General features: G+C 41.2%; 1 long non-coding RNA gene and 1 pseudogene across 1 annotated transcript in view; both read left to right on the forward strand.

Moving 5' to 3' along the window:
* The first annotated feature begins 8,211 nt into the window (after positions 1-8,211).
* LOC101927575 (uncharacterized) overlaps positions 8,212-24,197 on the forward strand; it is a 31,159-nt gene continuing 15,173 nt past the window's right edge. The window contains exons 1-4 of the long non-coding RNA NR_110995.1: positions 8,212-8,298; positions 12,064-12,196; positions 20,197-20,617; positions 22,675-22,856. This is a non-coding gene — a long non-coding RNA (uncharacterized LOC101927575). The remainder of the gene's footprint in view (positions 8,299-12,063; positions 12,197-20,196; positions 20,618-22,674; positions 22,857-24,197) is intronic.
* Positions 23,286-23,826, forward strand: HMGN2P33 (high mobility group nucleosomal binding domain 2 pseudogene 33; annotated as a pseudogene).

A 24,197-nucleotide genomic window follows, 5' to 3' on the forward strand; every position in this document is an offset into this window, starting at 1 on the left:
TGTAACATCATTTAAGCATTTAATGACAGTGAAATTGTTCCAGTGTCATCGGTGATTTGTGATGAAGATCAGCACGTCCAGATCAGAACTGGGTTAATTGCAGCTCATCACCAAGGAAAGTACAAAACATTCTAACCAATACCAGGACTGTAGTGTAGACATCTTTCCCTTTTTAAGTTCTTTTCCAATGCCACTGAGCATTTATATCCTTGTATTGCATTAATAAGGATTACACTGGCCCCATTTCTAGAACTATGTAAATACCAACCTGACAAAGTTGGTGATAGGAAGTTCATAGATGTTTCTTTTTCATATATTGCCCTCTCAGTTCTCCCAGGTAGGCCAATCTGTTTTCCACAGGACTGATCTATTGCTCTGGTTGTCAGCCTTGTTTGAAAATTATTGCAGTGTCCATGGGCATCAGTGGAATATTCCAGCTGACCTTTGTTAGGCCTTTGAATAAAGAAGACAAAACAAACAAAACCCCAAGCAAGCCAACAACGACAACAATAATTGGCAAATGCCACAGTATCTTCAGTGATTAACCACGATTTTCTTTAGAAACCTTGTGAGTCTGGGCCGGGCATGGTGGCTCACGCCTGTAATCCCAGCACTTTGGGAGGCTGAGGCGGGCGGATCACGAGGTCAGGAGATCGAGACCATCCTGGCTAATATGGCGAAAACCCGTCTCTACCAAAAAAATACAAAAAAATTAGCCGGGCGTGGTGGCGGGCGCCTGTAAGTCCCAGCTACTCTGGAGGCTGAGGCAGGAGAATGGCGTGAACCCGGGAGGCGGAGCTTGCAGTGAGCCCAGATCGCGCCACTGTACTCCAGCCTGGGCGACAGACCTTGTGAGTCTGTTAAAATAGAAGCAGACACAAGATTAATTTGCTTCAAGTGAGATAATCCGTGAAAGGCATTCACTCCACACAGAGCCTGGCACAGGGTCAGTGCTCAAAAACGGCAAGCTTATTACCATTATTTTTATTATTTGGAATTAATGTTATCTGTTTCCCCCTCCCTCTCGCTTTTTGGTCCTCACTTTTTACTCGGAATACCAGTGGAATAAAGGTAAACAGCATCCGTTCTCATTTCTGAGGACAGGCTGCCCTGATGTTGAAGGTGATAGAATGGTCAACAGCCCTGGAAGCCCACTTCAGATTCTGGGTAGCTTTGCTGGGTCACCATGGCCTTGCAAACTGGCAGCTGGCTGGAAGATTGACGCTATGTTTGGCATTGGCTTACAATGGAGAATTGCTATGCGTAGCCAAAAATCTTCCCTGGCAGCCAGGAGTGGAGAGCAGCCTTGGACCCCACTTCACAGCATTCCTTTAAATGATGTTACTGTATTCACAGGCCAGAATTTAAACGTTTGCAGTAACAAGGGAGCCAGTTTTTGGATAGTCAAAGGCATTTTGTCAACAAAAGAGTATTCAGGCCATGCTATATATTTATGGTTCTATTCATCTCACCTTGTAGATAAGGAGGATTTGGAACCGCTGTAGGCTCTAAATAAACTCTTATTTTAATGCAGATGGCTCCTTATTCTAAATAATATCCTTTATATTCTTTTGCCTCAGACTTGGCATTTCTAACTCCTTGATGAATATTTCTACTCAGATTTCCAGCCATTAACACCTGTTCCCAACTCCTTATTTTCTATCTGTGCTATCACGATTATTGAGAAACTGTATATATAGTGATTACAATTGAGGGCTTTGGAGGCTGACTGCTGGGTTTTAAATCCCTGCTGTGCTATTTACTAGGTATGTGGACTTGGATAAGTTATTTGACTTCCTGGTGCCTCCTTACCTCCTCTTTGTAATAATAACACATCCCTCATCAAGTTGTTGTAAGCATTGAATTAAATGTTTAGACCAATGCCTGGAATGTAGTCAGTGCTTGTATCAGTTTGGTTGTATTAGGCTGCAAGTAACAGAACACCAATTAATAATAGCTTAGGCAATAAATACATTTAATTATCTTTTTTTTTTTTTTTTTTTTTGAGACGGAGTCTCCCTCTGTCACCCAGGCTGGAGTGCAGTGGTGCAATCTTGGCTCACTGCAACCTCCGTCTCCCTAGTTCAAGCAATTCTTCTGTCTCAGCCTTCCCGAGTAGCTGGGACTACAGGCTCATGCCACAACATAGTAGAGATGGGGTTTCACCATATTGGTCAGGCTCGTCTCAAACTCCTGACCTTAGGTGATCCACCTGCCTTGGCCTCCCAAAGTGCTGGGATTACAGGCATGAGCCACCACATCTGGCTCATAATTATCTTATATAAGTAGAATTCTGGAGGTGGGAAGTTCCAGCCTTGCTGCAGCAGTTCAGTGGTGCCACCAAAGACTGCATGTCTTTTTCTCTTTCCCTTCTGCCATCTTTCCCATGTCAGCTTTTCATCTTCATGGCTATCACAGGTCACCAGGCTGCTGCAGCTCCAGGGATCAAGGCAAAATGAAGGGGAAAAGGCAGGGGTGGCATCGACTGTCTCTTGCATCAGGAAAGCAAAAGCTTTCCCAGTTCCCAGGAGCCTTCCAAAAGATTTCTCCCTACATCTTATTGCCAGGACTAAGTCACATGTCCTCCCGTGACTTTGAAGGAGGCTAAGAAAGTGACGATCTAGTTTTCCAGCTTCTGTAATAAGAGAAGAGAGTTGGGCATGGTTGTAGAGGCAGCCAGGCCACAGTGACTGCCACAGTGATTAATATATGTTAGCTGTTACTGTTATTATTATTCCAGTTTTTAAAGTTAAAGATGTTGAAATTATTTTTCATTCCCCCTCTTCTTCTTTAACACTCAGTCACCAAGTTCAGCGATTCCTCCTTCTCAATGTTTTCCATGCCTACCCGATCTTTCCTTCATACTATTCCTAATGTTCCGGTGTTATTATCTCATGCATGGAAAAATGCAGTCAGCTTTCTTTCTGTCTCCTCTATCTTCAGTTTCTCCATGCTCTGCTCTATCTTGCACTCCACCAGATGAATCTTCATCAAATATCTCTATCATGCCATGTTATTGCCCAAATTCTTTAATCTCTTCCTATTGTCCACAGTAGTGATTCTTAAACTTCAGCATAATTAGAATCACATGGGAAGGCTGGGTGTGGTGGCTCACGCCTGTAATCCCAACACTTTGGAAGGCTGAGGTGGGTGGATTGTTTTAGCTCAGGACTTTGAGACCAGCTTGGGCAACATGGTGAACCCTGTCTCTACAAAAAATACAAAAATTAGCCGGGCACGGTGGCATGCACCTGTAGTCCTAGCTACTCAGGAGGCTGCTGAGGGGGTGGATTGCTTGAGACTGGGAGGCGGAGGTTGCAGTGAGCCAAGATCAAACTGCTGCACTCCAGGCTGGGTGACAAAGGGAGACTCTGTCTAAAAAAAAAAAGAAGAATCACCTTGGAAACTTGTTAAAAATCAGATGTCTTCTTAAAAGCAGGTATTGAGGTTATAAAATAATATATTCTCAATATACTCACAGTATAATTGGCAACACAAACAAAATAATTATAATTCAGGGAATTTATTTTCTATGTTACTCATTTGGCACATTAAATTTACTGCTTTACATAAGATCCACAATCAGTTATTTTTTCATGTATATATGTCTCATTTCCTTCAATAGATCAGACATTGCTTGAAGGCAGAGATTCTGTATAATACCACACTGCCACTGTAATTAGTCCTAAAATATCCGACACAATTTTTTTGAATAAATCAATGGTATTCATGCAAAATATTCAGTGGGTACTTAATAAATGTTGGACTTATCTAGCAAAAACAATGGAAAACCTCAGACAAGATTGGGTAAAAAACAAAAACAAAAAACACCTCTATCTATTAGAATAGATGTATAGCTTGAAGCAACAGAATTACTCTTGGCTGAGAAATGGCTACAATCTAATAATGTAGATCTTGCATGAATCAAATGGAAAGACACAGTGTAGATCTATCACAAATACTAAGCTTCAAGGGGTGAAAGGGCACTGTTAATCAGTAATTCTATCAGTAATAGGATTAGTTTGATTATTATGGAAGAGATCACCCATTCAATAATGTTCTTTTCCAGGCACTCCTGATACCCACTGGAGGTAATGCTGGTTTTGGGAGCACAATGTATTGTGAATAAAATATACGAAGAAAAAAGGTAATTATTTATACCTGTTTGGTGCCAGGGTCTTCAATGATGAATAAGACCCAGTCTCTCAAGGAACTTGGTATCTAGTAGGAAAAAGAAGCATGCAGACAAGTCTAACAGATGATTTCCAGTATAACCGGAAATCAGAGAGGAGCATGAGTGTGTGAGTGAGGCAGGAGAAGAAGAGAGGATCTCTTCTGTCTGGAAGTGTGAGGACACCTTTTCCCAAGGAGTTATCTGCTCTCTCACCTTCCTTTCAGCTTCTCTTGGAATATTGCTAGAGTTATTATTTTTATCATGTTTGGTCTCACCTTCTCACCAACTACTGAATTTCAGAGGTAAATATCCAAGGAGTTGATAACATCTTTGTTTCTTCATACTAATGAAACGGGAAACAATTTCAGAAGTCATCCAATCCAACCCAGCCTGACAAACAAAATGGTCATCTGTTCTCTCTCTTTCTATCTACTCCTGATTCCCCCAAATCCCCGCATTTCTCAAATATGAGAGACTAAGGATAATCAACCATCCTGCTGTGCCCCGGAAAAAGTACTGAAATGCAGGACTTTCATTGCTAAAATCGGGACAGTCCCAGACAAACCAAGATGAGTTGGTCACCCTAGAGGGCAGTAGAAATAGTTAGAATGAAGGAGCCTGGATTAATCTATGCTAAATTCCTAACTGGGCAATTCCCTTAATGCTGATGGTTGCTTTATAGTATCAGAATATAAATGTGTCTCTGGAAGACAAGCCTATGCAGATTCAGAGCAAACATCCCACCACAGCCTACCAGGCTTGACTCATTCACTGGCTGGGTGAAGTCAACACAAGCATGTGTTTTCAATAAATATTTGATATAACTTTGTTTTGATTATACTGGGCTCTTAGGGGCAGCATTGTGTTCCCACCCAAATTCCTATGCTGAAGTTCTAATCCCAGTACCTCAGAATGTGATTGTATTTGGAGAAAGAGTCTTTACACATAATTAAGGTAAAATAAGGTCATATAGGTGGACCCTAATGCAATATGACTGGTGTCCTTATAAGAGGAGTAGATGAGGACAAAGACACAATAGAGGAAAGGCTGTGTAAACACAAGGGGAGAAGATGGCCATCTATAAGCCAAGGAGTGAGGCCTCAGAAGAAATAACCCTGCTGCCACTTTGATCTTGGACTTCCAGCCTCTGGAATTGTGAGAAAATAAATTTCTGTTGTTTAAGCCACCCAGTCTGTGGTACTCTGGTATTGCAGCCTCAGCAAACTCATATATGGGCATTGTTATGTTGCTTATAACAATGGAAAACGGACTGGGTAATTTATAAAGAAAAGAAATTTATTTCTTCCAGTTACGGAGGCTATGAAGTCCCAGGGCGAGGGGCCACATCTGGTAAGAAACTTCTTGCTGATGGGGACTCTGAACTGAGGCAGGGCAGGGTATCACACAGCAAGAGGGATGAGCGTGTGAATGTGTGAGCTCAGGTCCCTCTTCCTCTTCTTATAAAGCAACCCATTCCACTCCCATGGTAACCCATATATTCATTGACCCTTTAACCCATTCATCCATGAATGGATTAATCCACTTATGAGGGCAGAGCCCTTATGATCCAATCACCTCTTAAAGGCCCTATCTCAATACTGCCACATTGGGGATTAAGTTTCAACATGACTTTTGGAGGGGATAAATATTCAAACTACTGGGCCAGGTGTGGTGGCTCATGCCTGTAATCCCAGCACTTTGGGAGGCCGAGTTGGGCGGATCACAAGGTCAGGAGTTGAGACCAGCCTGGCCAATAGGGTGAAACCCCTTCTCTGCTAAAAATAAAAAAAACTAGCCTGGTGGGGTGGCACATGCCTGTAGTCCCAGCTACTCGGGAGGCTGAGGGAGGAGAATAGCTTGAACCCAGGAGGTGGAGGTTGCAGTAAGCCGAGATCGCACCACTGCACTCCAGCCTGGGCGACAGAGTGAGATTTCATCTCCAAAACAAACAAACAAACAAACAAACTATATATATATACATACATATATATATATGTATGTATATATATTCAAACTACAGCAATTGTCTTGAGTTGGGCTTTCTCAGATGTATATAGTGATTTATGCAGAAGTAGTTTATTTGGGAGGTGATCCCAGGAAGCCCTGATGACAGAGGTGAAGGGAGAGGGAAAGGAAGGAAACTACTTCAGAGCAGGTCACTGCTGGGGGCAACTGGATCTGCATTCCACTGGGGGCCTCTGAAAACTGTGTAGAACACACCTCAGGTTGTCCCACCCGAGGGGCAATTTACCCTCCATCTCCCATTCGTTATGGGGGGAACAGGGATTGGCTTACAGCCTGGCAGCACCTGCCTGCCCTGCACAGTAGTGAGCTAATTTCTGCTGCTAGAGAAAGCCCTCAGGGAGGGTTGGGGGAGCTTGCAATAAGAACTGCAGGTGTGCACAGCAACAGTCTCTGTGTGTTTTATTTGCTTTTGTAATAACAAACAATAAAGATTTCAAAAGCAGGAAAGTGATTGTATTACTGGGAACAATTTTATTTAACTTTAACATTATAACAAATCCATTGCCAGTTTCACTTTGGAATTTGGCCTAGAATAAAAGTGGCTTTCTCTAGGCAGGGTGTGAGATGTGATATAAGCCGTGTTCTTTCAGCGCCCCGGTGGTATCATGCATCAGGCTCCTCACAGTGCCAGACTCACTGTCATTCTTAAATTCCTAGAGATTGGGCCTTGTTAGTGCTAAAGGCCTCTGAGGCTCCTTTAAATCAGTCACATATTGATTAAAATAAGAAGGGAGATTCTCCCTTTCCTACCTAAGCTAGCTGAGGGCATATAGCAAAATCTCTTTTCCTTGTGTCAAAATTAAAACAGGACTCTCAGTGTCCTGCGCCATCTACCCAGGGTAACTTCCTACCCTTCCCATTGCTAAAGGAGATAGATAGTAATTATTCAGCACCCCCCTCCATGAGGACTGACATAGATAATGCAAGTAGAGTTCTCAGCAAAGGGCATGGCTACTAACTGCACACATCGAAGCCCATTGAGAATACTGGTAATTTGTATATTTATTTCATGTAACCAGAAATCTCCATATTTTATTTAAAAATAAATTTTGTCTCTGGGTGTTGTTTCACTTGCGAGTACGCCAGGCTTGTGACTGTGTATCCTTTGTCCTCCTGGCTTAAGTATCTCCAAGTAGAATTATTGGGAAGTTTTTAGATAAAATAAAAATCTTAGGAAAGGTTGGGGCTGGCCTTGGAGGAATAGAGGGGAGGGAAGGAGACAGAACTGGGTCCTGGGAAAAAGGAGGCAGGCAGGCTCCATGCCAAGGGCTGGGATTAATCCTGGGCACCTAGCCTCTTCCTCTCTGAGTTCTCCTTCACCCTTTGCCAGTTTTCACCAGTGACTCTGATAGACTGGGGTGCAAATATAGAAATGACTAATGACATAAAAAAGTTGTTTGTCCATCGTATGTTCTCACTCATAAGTGGGAACTAAGCTATGAGGATGCAAAGGCATAAGAATGATACAATGGACTTTGGTGACTCAGGGGAAAGGGTGGAAAGGGAGTGAGGGATAAAAGACTACAAAGTGGGTTCAGTGTATACTGCTCTGGAGATAAGTGCACCAGAATCTCACAAATCACCAGCAAAGAACTTATGTAACCAAACATCACCCATTCCCCCCAAAACGTATGGAAATAAAACATTTTAAAAAAAGGAAAAGGTTTTAAGGTTTTTAAAATATGTGTAGGGAAAGATTATCTCAGATGTATTTTTAAAAAAACCAAGATATTTTATAGGGATTTAATAGATGTTTTCAAAATCAAAATAAAAGTTGTTTTTCCTCATTAGTAAGCCAGAAAGTTGGAATTAAAACTACAGTGATGTAAGTGCCTGAGTCTTAAGTAAGGGTCTTAATATTAGTCTTAAACAGAGGAGGGATAGGGTTAGAAACTTTCTAAATGAATGCTCCCTGACTGAACTCATTGTTTTAATGCAGCATATAATCCTCTGGATAAATCTCTGAATAAAATTTCAGATGAAAAGAACACTTAAATGGCCACATTATATCAACAGAAAGACAGGCATTTCAGGACTAAAAAAGAACATAACATATGGAATACTGAAAACCTGTACTGTAGCCCAGCGCCAGGCACCAGGTATGTCTTCAACAGATGTTAACTATGATTATGATTATTGTCACCCAATAACCATCTTTCCCATCTAGTATCTCATGGGAATTTCAGAGAATTCACGTGTATGGGAGTATAATGGAGATGGAGACTCTGTAGGGAATTGGGGTGCAGGGAAATTCATCTGTTTCACAATGCACACCCACATCAAGTGACTCTAATTCTCCTTTCAATAAGAGTTTTTGCTCTCAAAAACCCTCTTCTCTTCCAGACTGTCTCTCTCCTATGTAAGCCTAATGTTTTTCTCTCCTGCTTTATAGATTTTCCCTCATACCTCCTTCAAATTCTTTTCTGTGCCATGTAATGTGAAAGCCACAAAAATTGACCTCAGGTCATTACAGTCTACTAGAGGAGCTATAAACAACATTATTTAGAATAGAGAGGTTGACCACCGTGACATGCTAGAGGCATAAACGGTAGGGGTTCAGTGGAGAGGAGACATCATAAGACAAGTGGCATGGGCATTGGTCTTAAAGGATAAATTGGATTCTGTCTGAAAACAGTAGGAAATAATATTATTGGTGGAAGGAACAGTTTGAGCAAAGACACAAATGTGGCAAAAGCCAGGGTCTGATCTTCCCAGCTTGAATGCCAAACTAAGGGATCCAGGCTGTATTCTATAGGCCAACATTTTGAGCAGCTCATCTGAGCCATATTGGAGATATTAATCATAGACTGGTTGTCATGAATGGATGGGAAGAGGCAGGGGCAGGGTGCAGGAGGTCAGTAAAGAGGACATCCCCATTACTCTTCAACTCTCAGATAGTCAGATATAAATGTTAATTCTTGCCTTCTCAGAAATGTTTAAGGCATCTCCATTGTCCACAAAATAAAGAATAAACCCCTTAAAATGCCATTCAAGGCCTCCGTACTAGTCAGCTTGAGCTGCCATAATAAAATACCATAGACTTGGGGCTTAAACAACAGAAATTTATTTCCTCACAGTTATGGAGGCTAGAAGTTCAAGGTTCTGGCCAGTTCAGTTTCTGGTGAGGGCAGATGGCTTGCAAATGGCCACCTTCTTACTGTGTGCTTATGTGGCCTTTACTTGGTGGTGCTCATGGAGAGAGAGAGCAAGCTCTCTGGTGTTTCTTTCTATAAAGGCTAATCCTTTTGAATCAAGACTCCAGGGTCACACCCTATGACCTCATTTAACCTTAGTTCCATAGAGGCCCCATCTCCAAATAGAGCCAGACTGTGGGTTAGTGCTTTGACATACACATTTTTGTGAAACACAAACATTCAGTCCATGACAGCTTCCTAGGAAAACAGTAACTACCATCTGTGAAGTGCCTACTATAGTCTAGGCATTGTGTAAAGTTCTTTACCTACATTATTTCATTTAATCCCCTCAAGAACAGCATGAAGTAGGTATTTTGTTGTCTGCATTTTACAAATGAGTCTCAGGGAAGGTAAGTACTTTGTCTATAGCTGTACAGCCTTTAGGGGAGGAGGCAGACTTTTAAGGGGAATCCACCTTGAGGCAGGAGGAATCCACATTGAAGGGGAATTGGAAGCACTCCACTCCCCTGACTGACTGCTTCCGACTTCAGCTGTGGCTCTGTCCTCCCCACCCACTCTGGTCCCACTGTATAACTCAGCATTTTCTCCACGTGACATAATTCTTGAGGTCTTGTGTTTGCTCATGCTGTTTTCTCAGACTGTAATGCCTTTTTTTTCTTCTTTTTATTAATTGTTCAAGTTTCCCCTCAAGGGGCAATGCCTCTGTGAAACCTTCCTGTACATCTTTTTTGTTGTTGTTGAATCATATGTATGTGAAACCTTTCTAAATATTCCATGCTGTTTCATTTGGCCTTGCATTCTGGTTACCTGTCTAAATGTCTGTATTTCCTTGCCATACCACCAGATTATACATATTTTGAGATATTTTACATGTGTGTATTTTACACCATGCCCAGCACACAGTAGGTGCTTTAATAGACATTTACTGAGTGAAGGTCAAGGTGAGAGTTAGTGAAGCTATAAACTAGAGGAGTGGCAATGGAGATGCAAAGGAGAGGATGGATTGATAAGACCTGGTGACTTTGGATGTGGGGACTGAGGGAGAGGCCAAGATGACTTGAAAGTTTTTCAAGGTAAGAACATCAGTGTTACTATAGAAGCCAGGAGGTGTTGCTACTTGCGGGGAAAGACACCATTAATAGAGGCGGTAGTAGTAATAATAGCAGCTTCCACTAATTAAATACTTGAATCACTCAGCATGCCAAGTGCTTGTCATATATTGCTCACCTATTTCTCATAATAATCTTGTGAGGTGAGCATTATTCTCAATGCATAGATGATGAAATGGAGGCTCAGAGAGATTAAGCAAACTGCTCAAGGGGGCACAACTAGCAAGCATCAGAACTGAGATGCAAACTCAAGTCTGTCTGACTCCAAAGCTTGTGTCCTGAAGTATTATCCTCCTGAAAACTGCCGAGTGACTCTATTTCCTGTTCTCCAAGGGGCAGCAGGGGAGGTCTCGCCATTTGCCGACAACTCTTTGTGGTGTCTGGTGACTGATTGGTGGTCAGTGCCATGTTGGTTCTTCATGACACAGACAATCCCCTGCACACAGATGGGAAGTTCCCAGGGATGGGAGAGAACATGAGATGTCTCAGCCAGGCCCTGGATGTCTCCTTGCCTTCCCTCCTTCTCCTCTCGGGCTGTACAAGCTGTTCAGCAGAAGTTCTTAGAGCATCTAGTCTTGTTCCAAAGAGACATAGCCATGGCCAAAGAGAATCTGAGGAACGCTAGGAAAAGTCACCTCTTCTATGTATTTGGTGTAAACTGGGAAGAAAAGGTCCCAACATATCTCATCACAGTCAGCAGTAAACAAATATCTTTATCAATAGCAGCATCAACAGCTTGTATTATAAGTGGGTGTGAGGGATTCCACTTCTTGGAAGGTCAAGTGTGGGAGATATCCAGGACTCAGGTCACTGAAGTGGGCACATATCCCTAATAACGCAAGAGCCTGGTAATGGAAACAAAGATTTCAAATTTGTCAATGATAAAACTTTTCTTAGTTTTTCATCTTGGAGAAAAAGAGTAAGCTAACAGGAAGTACAAAACAGGAATACATATTGCAGAATTCTTTAGGTAATACTATACTAGGTTTGTGATTGTATTTTAAGACTGATTACATGAAAGAATATTAATTAGGCCTATGAGAAGTAGCAGTATAAGTGGTTTGACAGAAATGTGAGATGAATGTATAGCAGATTTCAGCAGATAATGGCAGAAGAGTTGGGGGATAGGTCTTTTCCAAAGACTAAATGGATTGACTTGTTTATTCCGGCAATGTAAAGGAAGGAGGAATGATTGTGACTTTCTTCCTGTGATATGAAAATTGAAATGGGTTGGGCGGGGCACAGTGGCTCACGCCTGTAATCCTAGCACTTTGGGAGGCCGAGGTGGGTGGATCACTTGGGGTCAGGAGTTTGAGACCAGCCTGGCCAATGTGGTGAAACCCCATCTCTACCAAAACGATAAAAAATTAGCTGGGTGTGGTGGTGGGCGTCTGTAATCCCAGCTACTTGGGAGGTTGAGGCAGGAGAATCGCTGGAACATGGGAGGCGGAGGTTGCAGTGAACCAAGATTGTGCCACTGCACTCCAGCCTGGGTGACAGAGTGAGACTCCATCTCAAAAAAAAAAAAAACAAAAAACAAAAAGAGTAATGGGTTTATATAGATACCTATGAGTAATAGATTTTCACCATGTCTACCTAGGTCAGCACACTAAATGCCCAGAAGGATGATGTGTGGGTGAAGAAGCAGAGCAACATAATATGGGAGGGGAACCCCTTCTTGGCAGATTTTAAAGAATAAAGTAAATGGAAGTCCTTGTTTCTTCAATTAGACAGTGAGTTTTCTTTTAGCTCTATTATTTTATAGAAGTTGTAGATGTTCTTAGTTTAACTTGTGTTAGTCCCATGTTCAGAAGTAGCTTTAACCTCTATTGCCTACTACGTGACTGAAGAATAATTTGGCATTTTTCCCTTTCAAAGTGAAGCATGAGCTTTCATAAAAATCTTCCCCCATTGTTGTTACAGCATTTTGGTATGCATTTATATTTCAGTAATTTTAATGTAGTATATTAATTTTGATTATAAATGTTTCCACACACATGCCTACTGGTGGTAATATTTTATGTTTACCTTCTCGTTTGTACATTTTATTTGGGAGTAATGCATTCTGATAACTCATTAGGATACATGGATGGAAAATTTTCATTTTAAAGTAGGATAGTTTTAAGCAACATTAACATTTAATTAGAGCTCTTCACTGCATTTTATTATGAGGTTATTCTGTAATTACTCAGCAGGTCCTGGTGTTTATTAATGCAGAAGTGACAGCACATAATACAACTAAATTATTGCCACATCTCTGGAAAAGACAATTGGAAAATGGGGAACAGATAGAGGCATTGTTTAAAGAGCCTCAGGGAAAAACAGCCTCAGAACATAATCCTTATTTTCTTTTGAACCTTTTTTTTCCATGACAATCCAGAGCAACATATAGCATGTAGACCTCCCCTACTATAGGTTAAGTAGCTTACATAATGGCTCCGGCTGCAATTTTCACATTTTGCATGAAACCGTTTTCTTGCAAGAGTAGATGTGAAGTGGAGCCTGTTAGATATAGTTCTAAATTGCTCAGATACATTATATGTGGGGAGAGTAGAAACCTTCAAATAAATGCCAGAAACTGAGGTTTCTAAGAAGCTTTATGCTTTTTAAATAATCATCCTTTTCTCCTTTTTAATTAGAATACAGATATTATATTATGACCAGAGAACATAATGGTTAGAAAGCTCCATCAAATGCACTCTGACCCTTTATAACACTGCAGGGATGTGCAGGCTGTAATTTTCATATATGAGTGCCCTGAAATTCTTCTTTCCTTTTTAAGTTTTCTTTTATGCAGACCTCATAATCCTGCTGCTAATTTGATTCCCTGTCCGTTTTCCTCATTATGCCCAAGCTGCTTCTGGACACTTAAAGTGAATTGAGGCAACTATTTTGATATTGTGGGTGAAAATTAGTTTTAACTAAGACATCCAGATAACAGGTGTATGTGTATATGTGTGTGTGTTTGTGTGTGTGTGTGTGTGTAGTTGGTCTTGGGGGGTATTGACCTGAGGAGATAACATCTCTGGAATGGGCTACCTTGATAAATCACCTGAACTCTCCTCTTCGTAAGCACTAGAGCAATGACAGCAGACATTCTTGCTTTATTCCTGATCTTGGGAGAAAAATCATTCAGCCTTTCATCCCTAAATATAATGTTAGCTGTAGATATTTTGTAGGTACTTGTATTAGTTTGCTAAGGTTTCCATAACAAAGTACCATCAACTGAGTGGCTTAAATAACAGAAGTTTGTTTCTCACATTTCTGGAGCCTAGAAGTCCAAGAACCAGGTGTAGGCAGGTTTATTTTCTTTGGAGCTTCTCTTCCTGGCTTGTGGACGGCCTCCTTCTCGCTATATCCTTATATGGTCTTTCCTCTGTGCGGGCTTATCCCTGGTGCTTCTCTGTTTGTCCAAATTTCCTCTTCTCATAGAGACGACAGTCAGATTGGATTAGGGTCCACCCTAACGGCCTCATTTTGATTTAGTTACCTCTTTAAAGGTTCTGTCTCCAAACACAGTCACATTCTGAGGTACTGGGGATTAGGGCATTACATAAATTTTGGGGTAACACAATTTAGCCCACTGACAATACCTTTTATTAGGTTAAGGAAGTTCCACTCTATTTCGGTTTGCTGAGAGTTTTTAAAATCACGAATGAATATTGAATTTTGCCAAGTGATATTTTTGCATACATTGATAGGATCATGTGGTTTTCTTTAGAATGTCATAATGATGGGTTACATTGATTGATGTTTGCATGTTGAACAAGTATGTTATTCTTTTTTATATCTTGTTGGATTAAATTTGCTAATATTTTATTGAGTGTTTTTGCAAAAATATTCATAAGGCATATCATTTTATTTTCTTGTAATATCTTTGTCTGGACTTAGTATCAGAGTAATGCTGGCCTGATAAAATAAGTTGGGAAGTGTTCCCTTCTCTTTTATTTTCTGGGAAAGTTTGTTTAGAATCTGTATTATTTCGCCAGGCGCGGTGGCTCATGCCTGTAATCCCAGCCAAGGCGGGCGGATCACAAGGTCAGGAGATCCAGACCATCCTGGCTAACATGGTGAAACCCCGTCTCTACTAGAAATACAAAAAAATTAGCCGGGTGTGGTGGCGGGTGCCTGTAGTCCCAGCTACTTGGGAGGCTGAGGCAGGAGAGTGGCGTGAACCCGGGAGGCGGAGCTTGCAGAGAGCCAAGATTGCGCCACTGCACTCCAACCTGGGTGACAGAGTGAGATGCCATCAGAAAAAAAAAAAGAAAAAAGAATCTGTGTTATTTCTTAATTTTTTTTTTTGAGACGGAGTCTTGCTCTGTCTCCCAGGCTGGAGTGCAGTGGCACGATCTTGGCTCACTGTAACCTCTGCCTGCTGGGTTACAAGTGATCTTCCTGCCTCAGCCTCCCTAGTAGCTAGGACTACAGGTGCGTGCCACCACTCCCAGCTAATTTTTGTATTTTTGGTAGAGACAGGGTTTTACCATGTTGGCCAGGCTGGTCTCAAACTCCTGACCTCAAGTGATCTACCAGCCTCGGCCTCCCAAAAGTGCTAGGATTACAGAGGTGAGACACCATGCCTGGCCATTTCGTCTTTAATGGTTTTGGTAGAATTCATCAATTAAGTACCTGGAGCCTGAAGATTTCTTTTTCAGGTGATTTTTAACTCCTAATTCAATTTTCCCCAGGTTTTCTATTTCATCTTGAGTGAGTTGTTAGTTTGTGGTTTGCAGAAGTGCTCCATTTTATCTGTTATTGAATTTATGTGTGTAGAATCGTTTGCAACATCCTCTTATTATTCTTTTAATTTCTACGGTATGTCACCCTTTTTATTCCTGATGTTGGTAGTTTGTGACTTCTCTGTTTTTTCCTTTGTCAGTGTTGCTAGAAGTTTGTATTAGTCTGTTCTCTAATTGCTATTAAGAACTACCTGAGACTGGGTAATTTATAAAGAAAAAAGGTTTAATTGGCTCACACAGTTTTGTAGGCTATACTGGACGCATGGCTGAGGAGGCCTCAAGAAACTTTCAATCATGGTGGAAGGTGAAGAGGAAGGAGGCATGCCTTACACGGCTGGAGCAGGAGGAGGAGAGAGCGAGGGTGGGGGTGCTACACACTTTCGAACAACCAGATCTCGTGAGAACTCACTCACTAACCCGAGAACAGCAAGGAGGAAATCCACCCTCTGGATCCAATCACCTCCCACCAGGCTCCTCCTCCAACACAGGGGGATTACAATTTTACGTGAGATTTAGTCAGGGACACAAATCCAGACCATATCAGGTTTATCCGTTTTATTGATCTTCTTTTTTAGTCTTGATGGAAACTTATCAATCGTATTGATCTCTTAAAGGGAACTACCTCTTTGTTTCACTAATATTCTCTACTGTTTTTCTTTTTTCCGTTTCATTGATTGTTGCTTTTAACTTTTTTATCCTCTTCCTTGTGCTTGCATTGGATTTATTTTGTTCCAGGTAGAAGCTTAAATGAACTAATTTGAGACCTTCTTTCTTAATGTGAGCATTTAATGCTTTAAATTTCCCTCTAAGCTCTCCTTTAATTTCATTCCATAATTTTTGATATATTGTAGTTTTATTTTATTCAGTTAAAAATATTTTCTAATTTCCCTTGATAACTCCGCTTTGACCCATGGATTATTTAGAAGTATATTGTTTAATTTCCAAGTGTTTTGTAGATTTTCCTGTTATCTTCCTATTATTGATTTCTAGCTTAATTCCATTACAGTCAGGGAACATACTTTGCATGACTCAACTCTTTGAAATCTATAGGATACACTCTGTCTTGGTGAATGTTTCATAAGTATCTGAAAAAAATGTACAATCTACCTGTCGAATGAAATGTCCTATAATGAAATTAGATTTAGTTGGTTGATAGTATTGTTCTGTTCTATATCCTTGCTAATTTTATATCTACTAGTTCTGTTGATTAGCGAGAGAGAAGTATAGAAGTCTCCAATTATAATTTTGGATGTATCTATTTCTTCTTTTAGTTCTCTCACTTTTTAGTTCATGAAGCTTTATGTTTTTTACTTGTTCATTTGTTTGTTTTGTGACAAGGTCTCACTTTGTCACCCAGGCTGGATTGCAGTGGTGTGAACACAGCTCACTGCAGCCTCAACTTCCCAGGCTCAAGTGATCCTCCTGCCCTTAGCCCCCCAAGTAGCTGAGACTACAGGTGTGCACCACCACGCCTGGCTAATTTTTGTATTTTTCATGGAGATGGGGTTTTGTCACGTTGCCCAGGGTTGTCTCAAACTCCTGAGCTCAGGTGATCTGCCCACCTTGGCTTCCCAAAGTGCTAGGATTATAGGTGTGAGCCACTGCGTCCAGCCTGCTTTGTTGTTAGGTGCATACACATTTAGGATTGTTATGTGTTTTTGATGAACTGACCCTTTTATCATTGTATAATGTCTCTTTATCCCTGGCTCTAACATTTACTTTGTCTGTTACTAATAACGCCATGCCAGCTTTCTTTTAATTCGTGTTTGAATGGTATATTCTTTCCATTATTTTACTTAACATACCTATATCTTTATATTTGTGGTGCATTTCTTGTAGGCAACATGTGATCTCATGTTTTTATTGACTTCTAAATCCATTTATATCCATTCTGATCTCTGTCTTTTAATTGATATAGTTAGAATATTTACACTTAATTTAGCATTTACATGTAATTATTGAAATATCTAAATTTGAACCTACTATTTTATTATATGTGTTCTGTTTTTCCTCTGATTTTTATTTCTCTATTTCCCTTTCAGCTTCTTTTCTGGGGATAGTTGAACAAATTTTAGTATTCTATTTAATTTGTTCATTTTGTCTTTGACCGTTTTTTGGTATTTCTTTTTAGTAGTTGATCTAGGGATTATAATAACATCATAATAATATATAATAGCATAACTCATAACATTCTACTTAGAATCAATATTATACCTCTTCAAGTATGTTCAGTAAAGGATTAATTCAGCAGGCTTGCAATGTTCAAGGCCTGAACATTCCCAAAAAAGGACTGGCCTTTGACCAGCTTCTGGGAGGTAATCTCTAAGCCCTTTGAATATCCTGTTTGATAGAAGTATCTTTGTATACCTGGGCCTTGGGCCTTGCCAGATAGTTTATGCCAACAGTGTGATTTATGACTGGGGCCTTGTCCACGTTGTATCCGTTTGACCTCTGTAGAAGCTGGAGACTGAGTAAGGTTTGTCATATGGATGTTTCATGCCTATGTGGCCAACCCCCAAAACAAATCCTGGACACCAAATCCTGGCACTGGTTGGCAGTCAGCCATATGTGTTTTCACACATCATTGTGGGGAAAATTAAGAAGACAACTGGAAGCTTGCTCTTGGTTTCTCCTGAACTCTGCCCCATGCATTTTTTACCTTTGCTGATTTTATCTGTATCCTTTTGCTGTAATAAGCCGTAACCATGATCATTAACAGCTTTTCTGAGTTCTGTGAATCTTTCTAGCAAATCAGTGAACCTGAGTGTGGTTGTAGGGACCCCAACACAAAGTGAAATGTAGAATCTTGCCACCATATGCATCTCTTTATTTTCCACAATCTATGTCATAGTTGTCTTATCTAATACATTTACATACAATAAAAACCTCATCAGATATTGTTGTAACTTTTGCTTTTGGTTGTCACACATATTTTAAAGACCTCAAGAGGAGATTTGTCTATTATACTTAACCAGATATTTAACATTTCTGTTGCTCTTTCTTCATTCTTAATCTTCCACATTTCCTTGTGGTATCATTTTCCTTCTGTCTAAAGAATTTCTTTTAGCACTTCTTTTAGAGTAGGTCTGTTGACAGTAAATTATCATGGTTTTTCTTGCCTGAGATGTCCTTTATTTATTCATTTATTTTTTAAAAAACCTGTCATTTGTGAAGGATATTTTCACTGGATATTTCACTCTGTGTTGACAACTATTTTCTTTCAGCACTGTAAAAAATGTCATTTTACTGGGCCGGGTGCGGTGGCTCACGCCTGTAATCCCAGCACTTTGGGAGGCCAAGGTGGGTGGATCACGAGGTCAGGAGATCGACCATCCTGGCTGACACGGTGAAACCCCGTCTTTACTAAAAATACAAAAAAAAAAAAAAAATTAGCCAGGCGTGGTGGCGGGCGCCTGTAGTCCCAGCTACTTGGGAGGCTAAGGCTGGAGAATGGTGTGAACCCGGGAGGCGGAGCTTGCAGTGAGCTGAGATTGCACCACTGCACTCCAGCCTGGGCAACAGAGGGAGACTCCCTCTCAAAAAAAAAAAATGTCATTTTACTTCTGGCCTCCATGGTTTCCAGCGAGAAATCTGGAATTATTTGAATCATTATTCACCTATAAGTAGTGCACTGTTGTCCTTGTCTTTAGGTTTTTTTTTTTTTTTTTTTTTTTTGACGGCTGGAGTGCAGTGGTGCAATCTTGGCTCAATGCAACCTCTGCCTCCCGGGTTCGGGTTCAAGTGATTCTCCTGCTTCAGCCTCCCAAGAAGCTGGGACTACAGGCGCATGCCACCACGCCTGGCTAATTTTTGTATTTTTAGTAGAGATGGAGTTTTGCCATGTTGGCCAGGCTGGTCTCGAACTCCTGACCTCAGGTGATCCACCCGCCTCAGCCTCCCAAAGTGCTGGCATTATAGGTGTGAGCCACCCCGCCTGGCCTAGTGTTTTGTTTTCAGCAATTTGATTATGATGTATTTGGGCATGTATTTCTTTTGGGGCTGGGGCTTACTGGTTCTCAAATCTGTAAGTTTTATGTTTTATGTCTTTCACCAAAGGTAGTAAATTTTTAGCTGTTATTTCTTTAAATATTTTTTTAGCCCCACACCCTTTTTCCTTTCCTGATGAGATTCCTGTAACACAGATGTTAGGCTTTTTGGTATAGCACCTTAGGTCACAGAGGCTCCACTCAATTATATTTTTAATTTTTTTTCTTTCTATTGTTGAACAATTTCTATTGATCTATCTTCAAGTTCACTGATGCATTCATCTGTCATCTTTATTTGCTATTAAGCTCTTTCAGTGAGTTTTAAAATTTTGGCTATTGTATTTATTAGCCCCAAAATTTCTATTTGGTTCTTCTTTCTATTTTCTATTTTTTTTTGCTGGGATTTTCTATCTTTCTGTTTGCTTTAAGAGTGTTTGCCATACTTCTTGGAGCACTTTTGCATTAGCTGCATTATAATCTCTCTCAGATACTTGCAATATGTGTGTAATCTTGATGTTTGTGTCTGTTAATCATGTTTTGTTACTTAAGTTGAGATTTTCCTGATTCTTTATATGCTTATTACTTTTGGATTATATCCTGGAAATTTTGAATAATATGATAATATGTTATGAGACTCTAGGTCTTGTTTAAATCCTATGGATAATGTTGGTCTTCTTGCTTTAGTAGGCAATTCACTCATTTGGATACAGGCTGTAAGTTCTGACCTTTCTTCTGTGGGTTATGGTTTCAATGTCAGTTCTGCTTTCAAAGGTTTTGAAGTGCTATTTGAATCTGTCTCATGTGTGCACCATCCATTGGTCAATCTGGGACCTGAGCAGTGGTCTATCCTATAGTTTAGTTCTCAAGTCTATGATATCCCACATGTGTAGTTTGAGAGTGAGTCAATGAGCTCATAAACAATGTCATGTGGTCACTTTCCTGATCTCCTTCCTTTCTATGATCTTTGTGGTCCTTTCCAGTTCACTGGCCCTATTTTTGTCTTTTTAGGCAGAAAGCTGGAATTTTGTGATCATAGTTTGCCACAGAAGTCTCATAATTGCACCCGCATCTGGGGCTAAGCAGTAGGAGGAAATAGAAGAAAAAAATCAACTCCTGTTTGAGTTGATCCATCCTCATGGGACCACAGCTTCTCTGAGGAGAGAAGAAAGTTTCCATTCCACAAAGTTTTAGGTACCTGTGGACCCTGCTGCTGCTGCTGTTGCTGCCATTAACGCCACTACTGCCACGAATGGAGGATTTCCTGGCGGCCAGGACATGATAGCGTGGAGATTGTAAAAGAAAAAAAAAAATAGGCGGGTGGAGAAAAATGGCGGACTACAAGCCTACATCCTTCCTACTACCCACAGGAACCCAAATTTTAAAAACTATCTGCACACAGAAAAGCACCATCATAAGAACCAAAAATCAGGTGAGCAATCATAGTACCTGTCTTTAACTTCATATCATTGAAAGAGACATTGAGGAGGGCAGGAGAGAAAATCTTGAAATGCTGATGCCACGCCTCTCCCATCCCCTGGCAGCAGCCTTGTAGTGTGGAGAGTCTGTGCCATTGGAGGAGGGAGAGCAGTGACTGGGGGGCTTTACATTGAACTCAGTACTGTCTTGTCATAGCAGAGAGTAAAGCCGTGCTGCGCTCAGTCAGTGCCGGTGCACCGAGGGAGAACTTGGATCAGACCTAGCCAGAGGGGAACCACTCATCCCATTGGTTGGACCTAAAATTTCTTGGCACGCTTTGCCACTGGGGCCCAAAGTGCTCTGGGGTCATAGGTAAACTTGAAAGACAATCTAGGACACAAGAACTGCAAATCCTAGGCAACTCCTAGTGCTGGGTTGGGCTCAGAGCCACAGGACTAAAGTGGCACGTGACCTAGGAAGACACCAGTCAGGGCAGCTAAAGGAGCGCTTGCACTGTCCCTCCCCTAACACCAGGCAGTGCAGCTTGTAGCAATGACATTGTCTCCTTCCTTCTGCTTAAGGGGTGGAGAGTGAAGAATAAAGAGGACTTTGTCTTCCATCTTGGATAGCAGTTCAGCCATAGTAGGAGAGGGCACTGGGCAGAGCTATGAGGGCCCTGTTCCAGGCCCTAGCTCCTGGATTACATTTCTAGACACACCCTGGGCCAAAAGGGAACCTGTTGCCTTGAAGGAAGGAGCCAGTCCTAGCAGGATTTATTACCTCCTGACCAAAGAGCAACTGGGCCCTGAATAACCAGCAGTGATACCCAGGTAGTACGCTGTGGGCCTTGGGCTCTAGATGTGCTGACTTCAGGTGTGACCCAGCACATTCCTAGCTGTAGTGGCTATGATGAAAGACCCCTTTGGTTTGAGAAAAGCAGAGGGAAAAGTGAAGGGACTTTGTCTTACACCTTAGGTACCAGCCACAGTGAGGTAGAGCACCAAGTGGGTTCTTGGGGTCCCTGAATCCAGGCCTAGGCTCTTGGACAGCATTTCTGGACCTGCCCTGGAGCAGAGGGGAACCCACTTCCCTGAAGGGTGAGTCCCAGGCCTGGCAGCATTCACCACAAGCTGACTGCAGAATCCTTGGGTTTTAAGTGAACGTCGGCGGTGGCCTGGCAGAATGAAACTTGATGGTGGTGGCTACAGGGAGAGGCTCCTCTGCTATGGAAAAGAGGAGGGAGATTGGGAGGACTTTATATTATGGTTTAAGTGCCAGCTTGGCTGCAGTAGAATAGAACATCAGGCAAATTTCTAAGGTTTTTGATTCCAATCAAATAATCAAATCAAAATGGATTAAAGGCTTATCAAAATGGATTAAAGAGTTAAACCTGAAACTGAAACTACTAAAAGAAAACACTGGGGAAACTCTCCAAGACATTGGTCTGGATAAAGATTTCATGAGAAATATTCCACAAGCACAGGCAACCAAAATAGAAATGGACAAATGAGATCCCAGCTTCTGCACAGTGAAGGAAACAATCAACAAAATGAAGAGACAACCCACAGAATGGGAGAATATATTTGCAAATTACTCATCTGACAGGGGGTTAATAGCCAGAATATATAAGAAGCTCAAACAACTCTATAGGAAAAAATCTAATACCCATTTAAAAAATGGGTAAAGGATCTCAATAGACATTTCTCAAAAGAGGACATACAAATGACAAATATATACATGAAAAGGTGCTCAGCATCACTGATCATCAAAAAACGCAAATCAAGCCACAATGAGATATCATCTTATCTCTGTTAAGATGGCTTATAGCCAAAATACAGGCGATAACAAATGCTAGAGAGGATGTGGATAAAAGGGAACCCTCATACACTGTTGGTGGGAATGTAAACTAGTATAGTCACTGTGGAAAAGTTGGAGGTTCCTCAAAAAACTAAAAGTTGAGCTACGATATAATCCAGCAATCCCACTGCTGGGTGTATACCAGAAGTGTATACCCAAAAGAAAGGAAATCAGTATATCAAAGATATATCTGCAATTCCATGTTTGTTGCAGCACTGTTCACAATAGCCAAGATTTGAAAGCAACCTAAGTTTCCATCAACAGATGAATGGATAAAGAAAATGTGGTACATATACACAATGGAGTACTATTCAGCCATTAAAAAGAATGAGATCCTGTCATTTGCAACCACATGGATGCAACTGGAGGTCGTTATGCTAAGTGAAATAAGCCAGGTATAGAAAGACAAACATTGCATGTTCTCACTTATTTGTGGGATCTAAAAACCAAACAATTGAACATATGGAGATGGAGAGTAGAAGGATGGTGACCAGAGGCTGGGAAGGGTAGTGAGGGATTGGGGGCAAGTGGGGATGGCTAATGGATAGAAAAAGTACTTTGAAAGAATGAATGAATAATACCTAGTATTTTATAGCACAAGATGACTATCGTCGAAATAATTCAATTGCACATTTAAAAATAACGAAAAGAGTATAATTGGATTGTCTTTAACACAAAGGATAAATCCTTGAGGAAATGGATACCCCGTTTTCCATGATGTGATTATTATGCATTATATGCCTGTAGCAAAATATCTGATGTACCCCATAAATATGTACACCTACTATGTGCCAACAAAAATAAAAATTAAAAAAAAAAAGGAAGAAGAAGAGGGGGCAACAATCCCCAGACTGACCAAAGCCGGCATACCGCCTATGTCCCACCACCACCATGCCCAAGAGGAAGGCTGAAGGGGGTGCTAAAGGAGACAAAGCCAAGGTGAAGGACAAACCACAGAGAAGATCTGCAAGGTTGTCTCTGCTAAACCTGCTCCTCCAAAGCCAGAGCCCAAGCCTAAAAAGGCCCCTGCAAAAAAGGGAGAAAAGATACCCAAAGGGAAAAAAGGAAAAGCTGATGCTGGCAAGGAGGGGAATAAGCCTGCAGAAAATGGAGATGCCAAACAGAGCAGGCCCAGAAAGCTGAAGGCACTGGAGATGCCAAGTGAAGTGTCTGCATTTTTGATTACTGTGTACTTCTGGTGACTGTACAGTTTGAAATACTATTTTTTAAAATCAAGTTTTATAAAAGCGCAGAATTTTGTTTTACTTTTTTTTTTCTTAAGCTATGTTGTTAGCACACAGAACACTTCCTTGTTGTTTTTGGGGGATGGGGCATGTGTCACTCATGGAATGTCTCTGAAGCTGGATTGATGGGGGGAGAACACTTTTCCGTTCTGTTTTTTTGTATTTTTTTTTTTTTTTTTTTTTGAGACAGAGTCTTTCTCTGTTGCCCAGGCTGAAGTGCAGTGGTGCGATCTCAGCTCACTGCAAGCTCTGCCTCCTGGGTTCACGCCATTCTCCTGCCTCAGCCTCCTGGGTAGCTGGGACTACAGGCGCCTGCTTTGAGAAACTTCCTCTTGGCTCCCAAGGGAGGGATTTCCTGACTTTGACACACATGGCCACCTTGGCACAAAAGCCTAGTGGTATGAAAAACAAATTCGTTTTTATGTCCTCTTCTCCCTTTCCACCTTTCAGCATAGACTTAACTCCCTCAAACCCAGACATCTGTTGGGACCT

Source organism: Homo sapiens, chromosome 9 (assembly GCF_000001405.40).
Source record: "Homo sapiens chromosome 9, GRCh38.p14 Primary Assembly".
Lineage (NCBI taxonomy): Eukaryota > Metazoa > Chordata > Mammalia > Primates > Hominidae > Homo > Homo sapiens.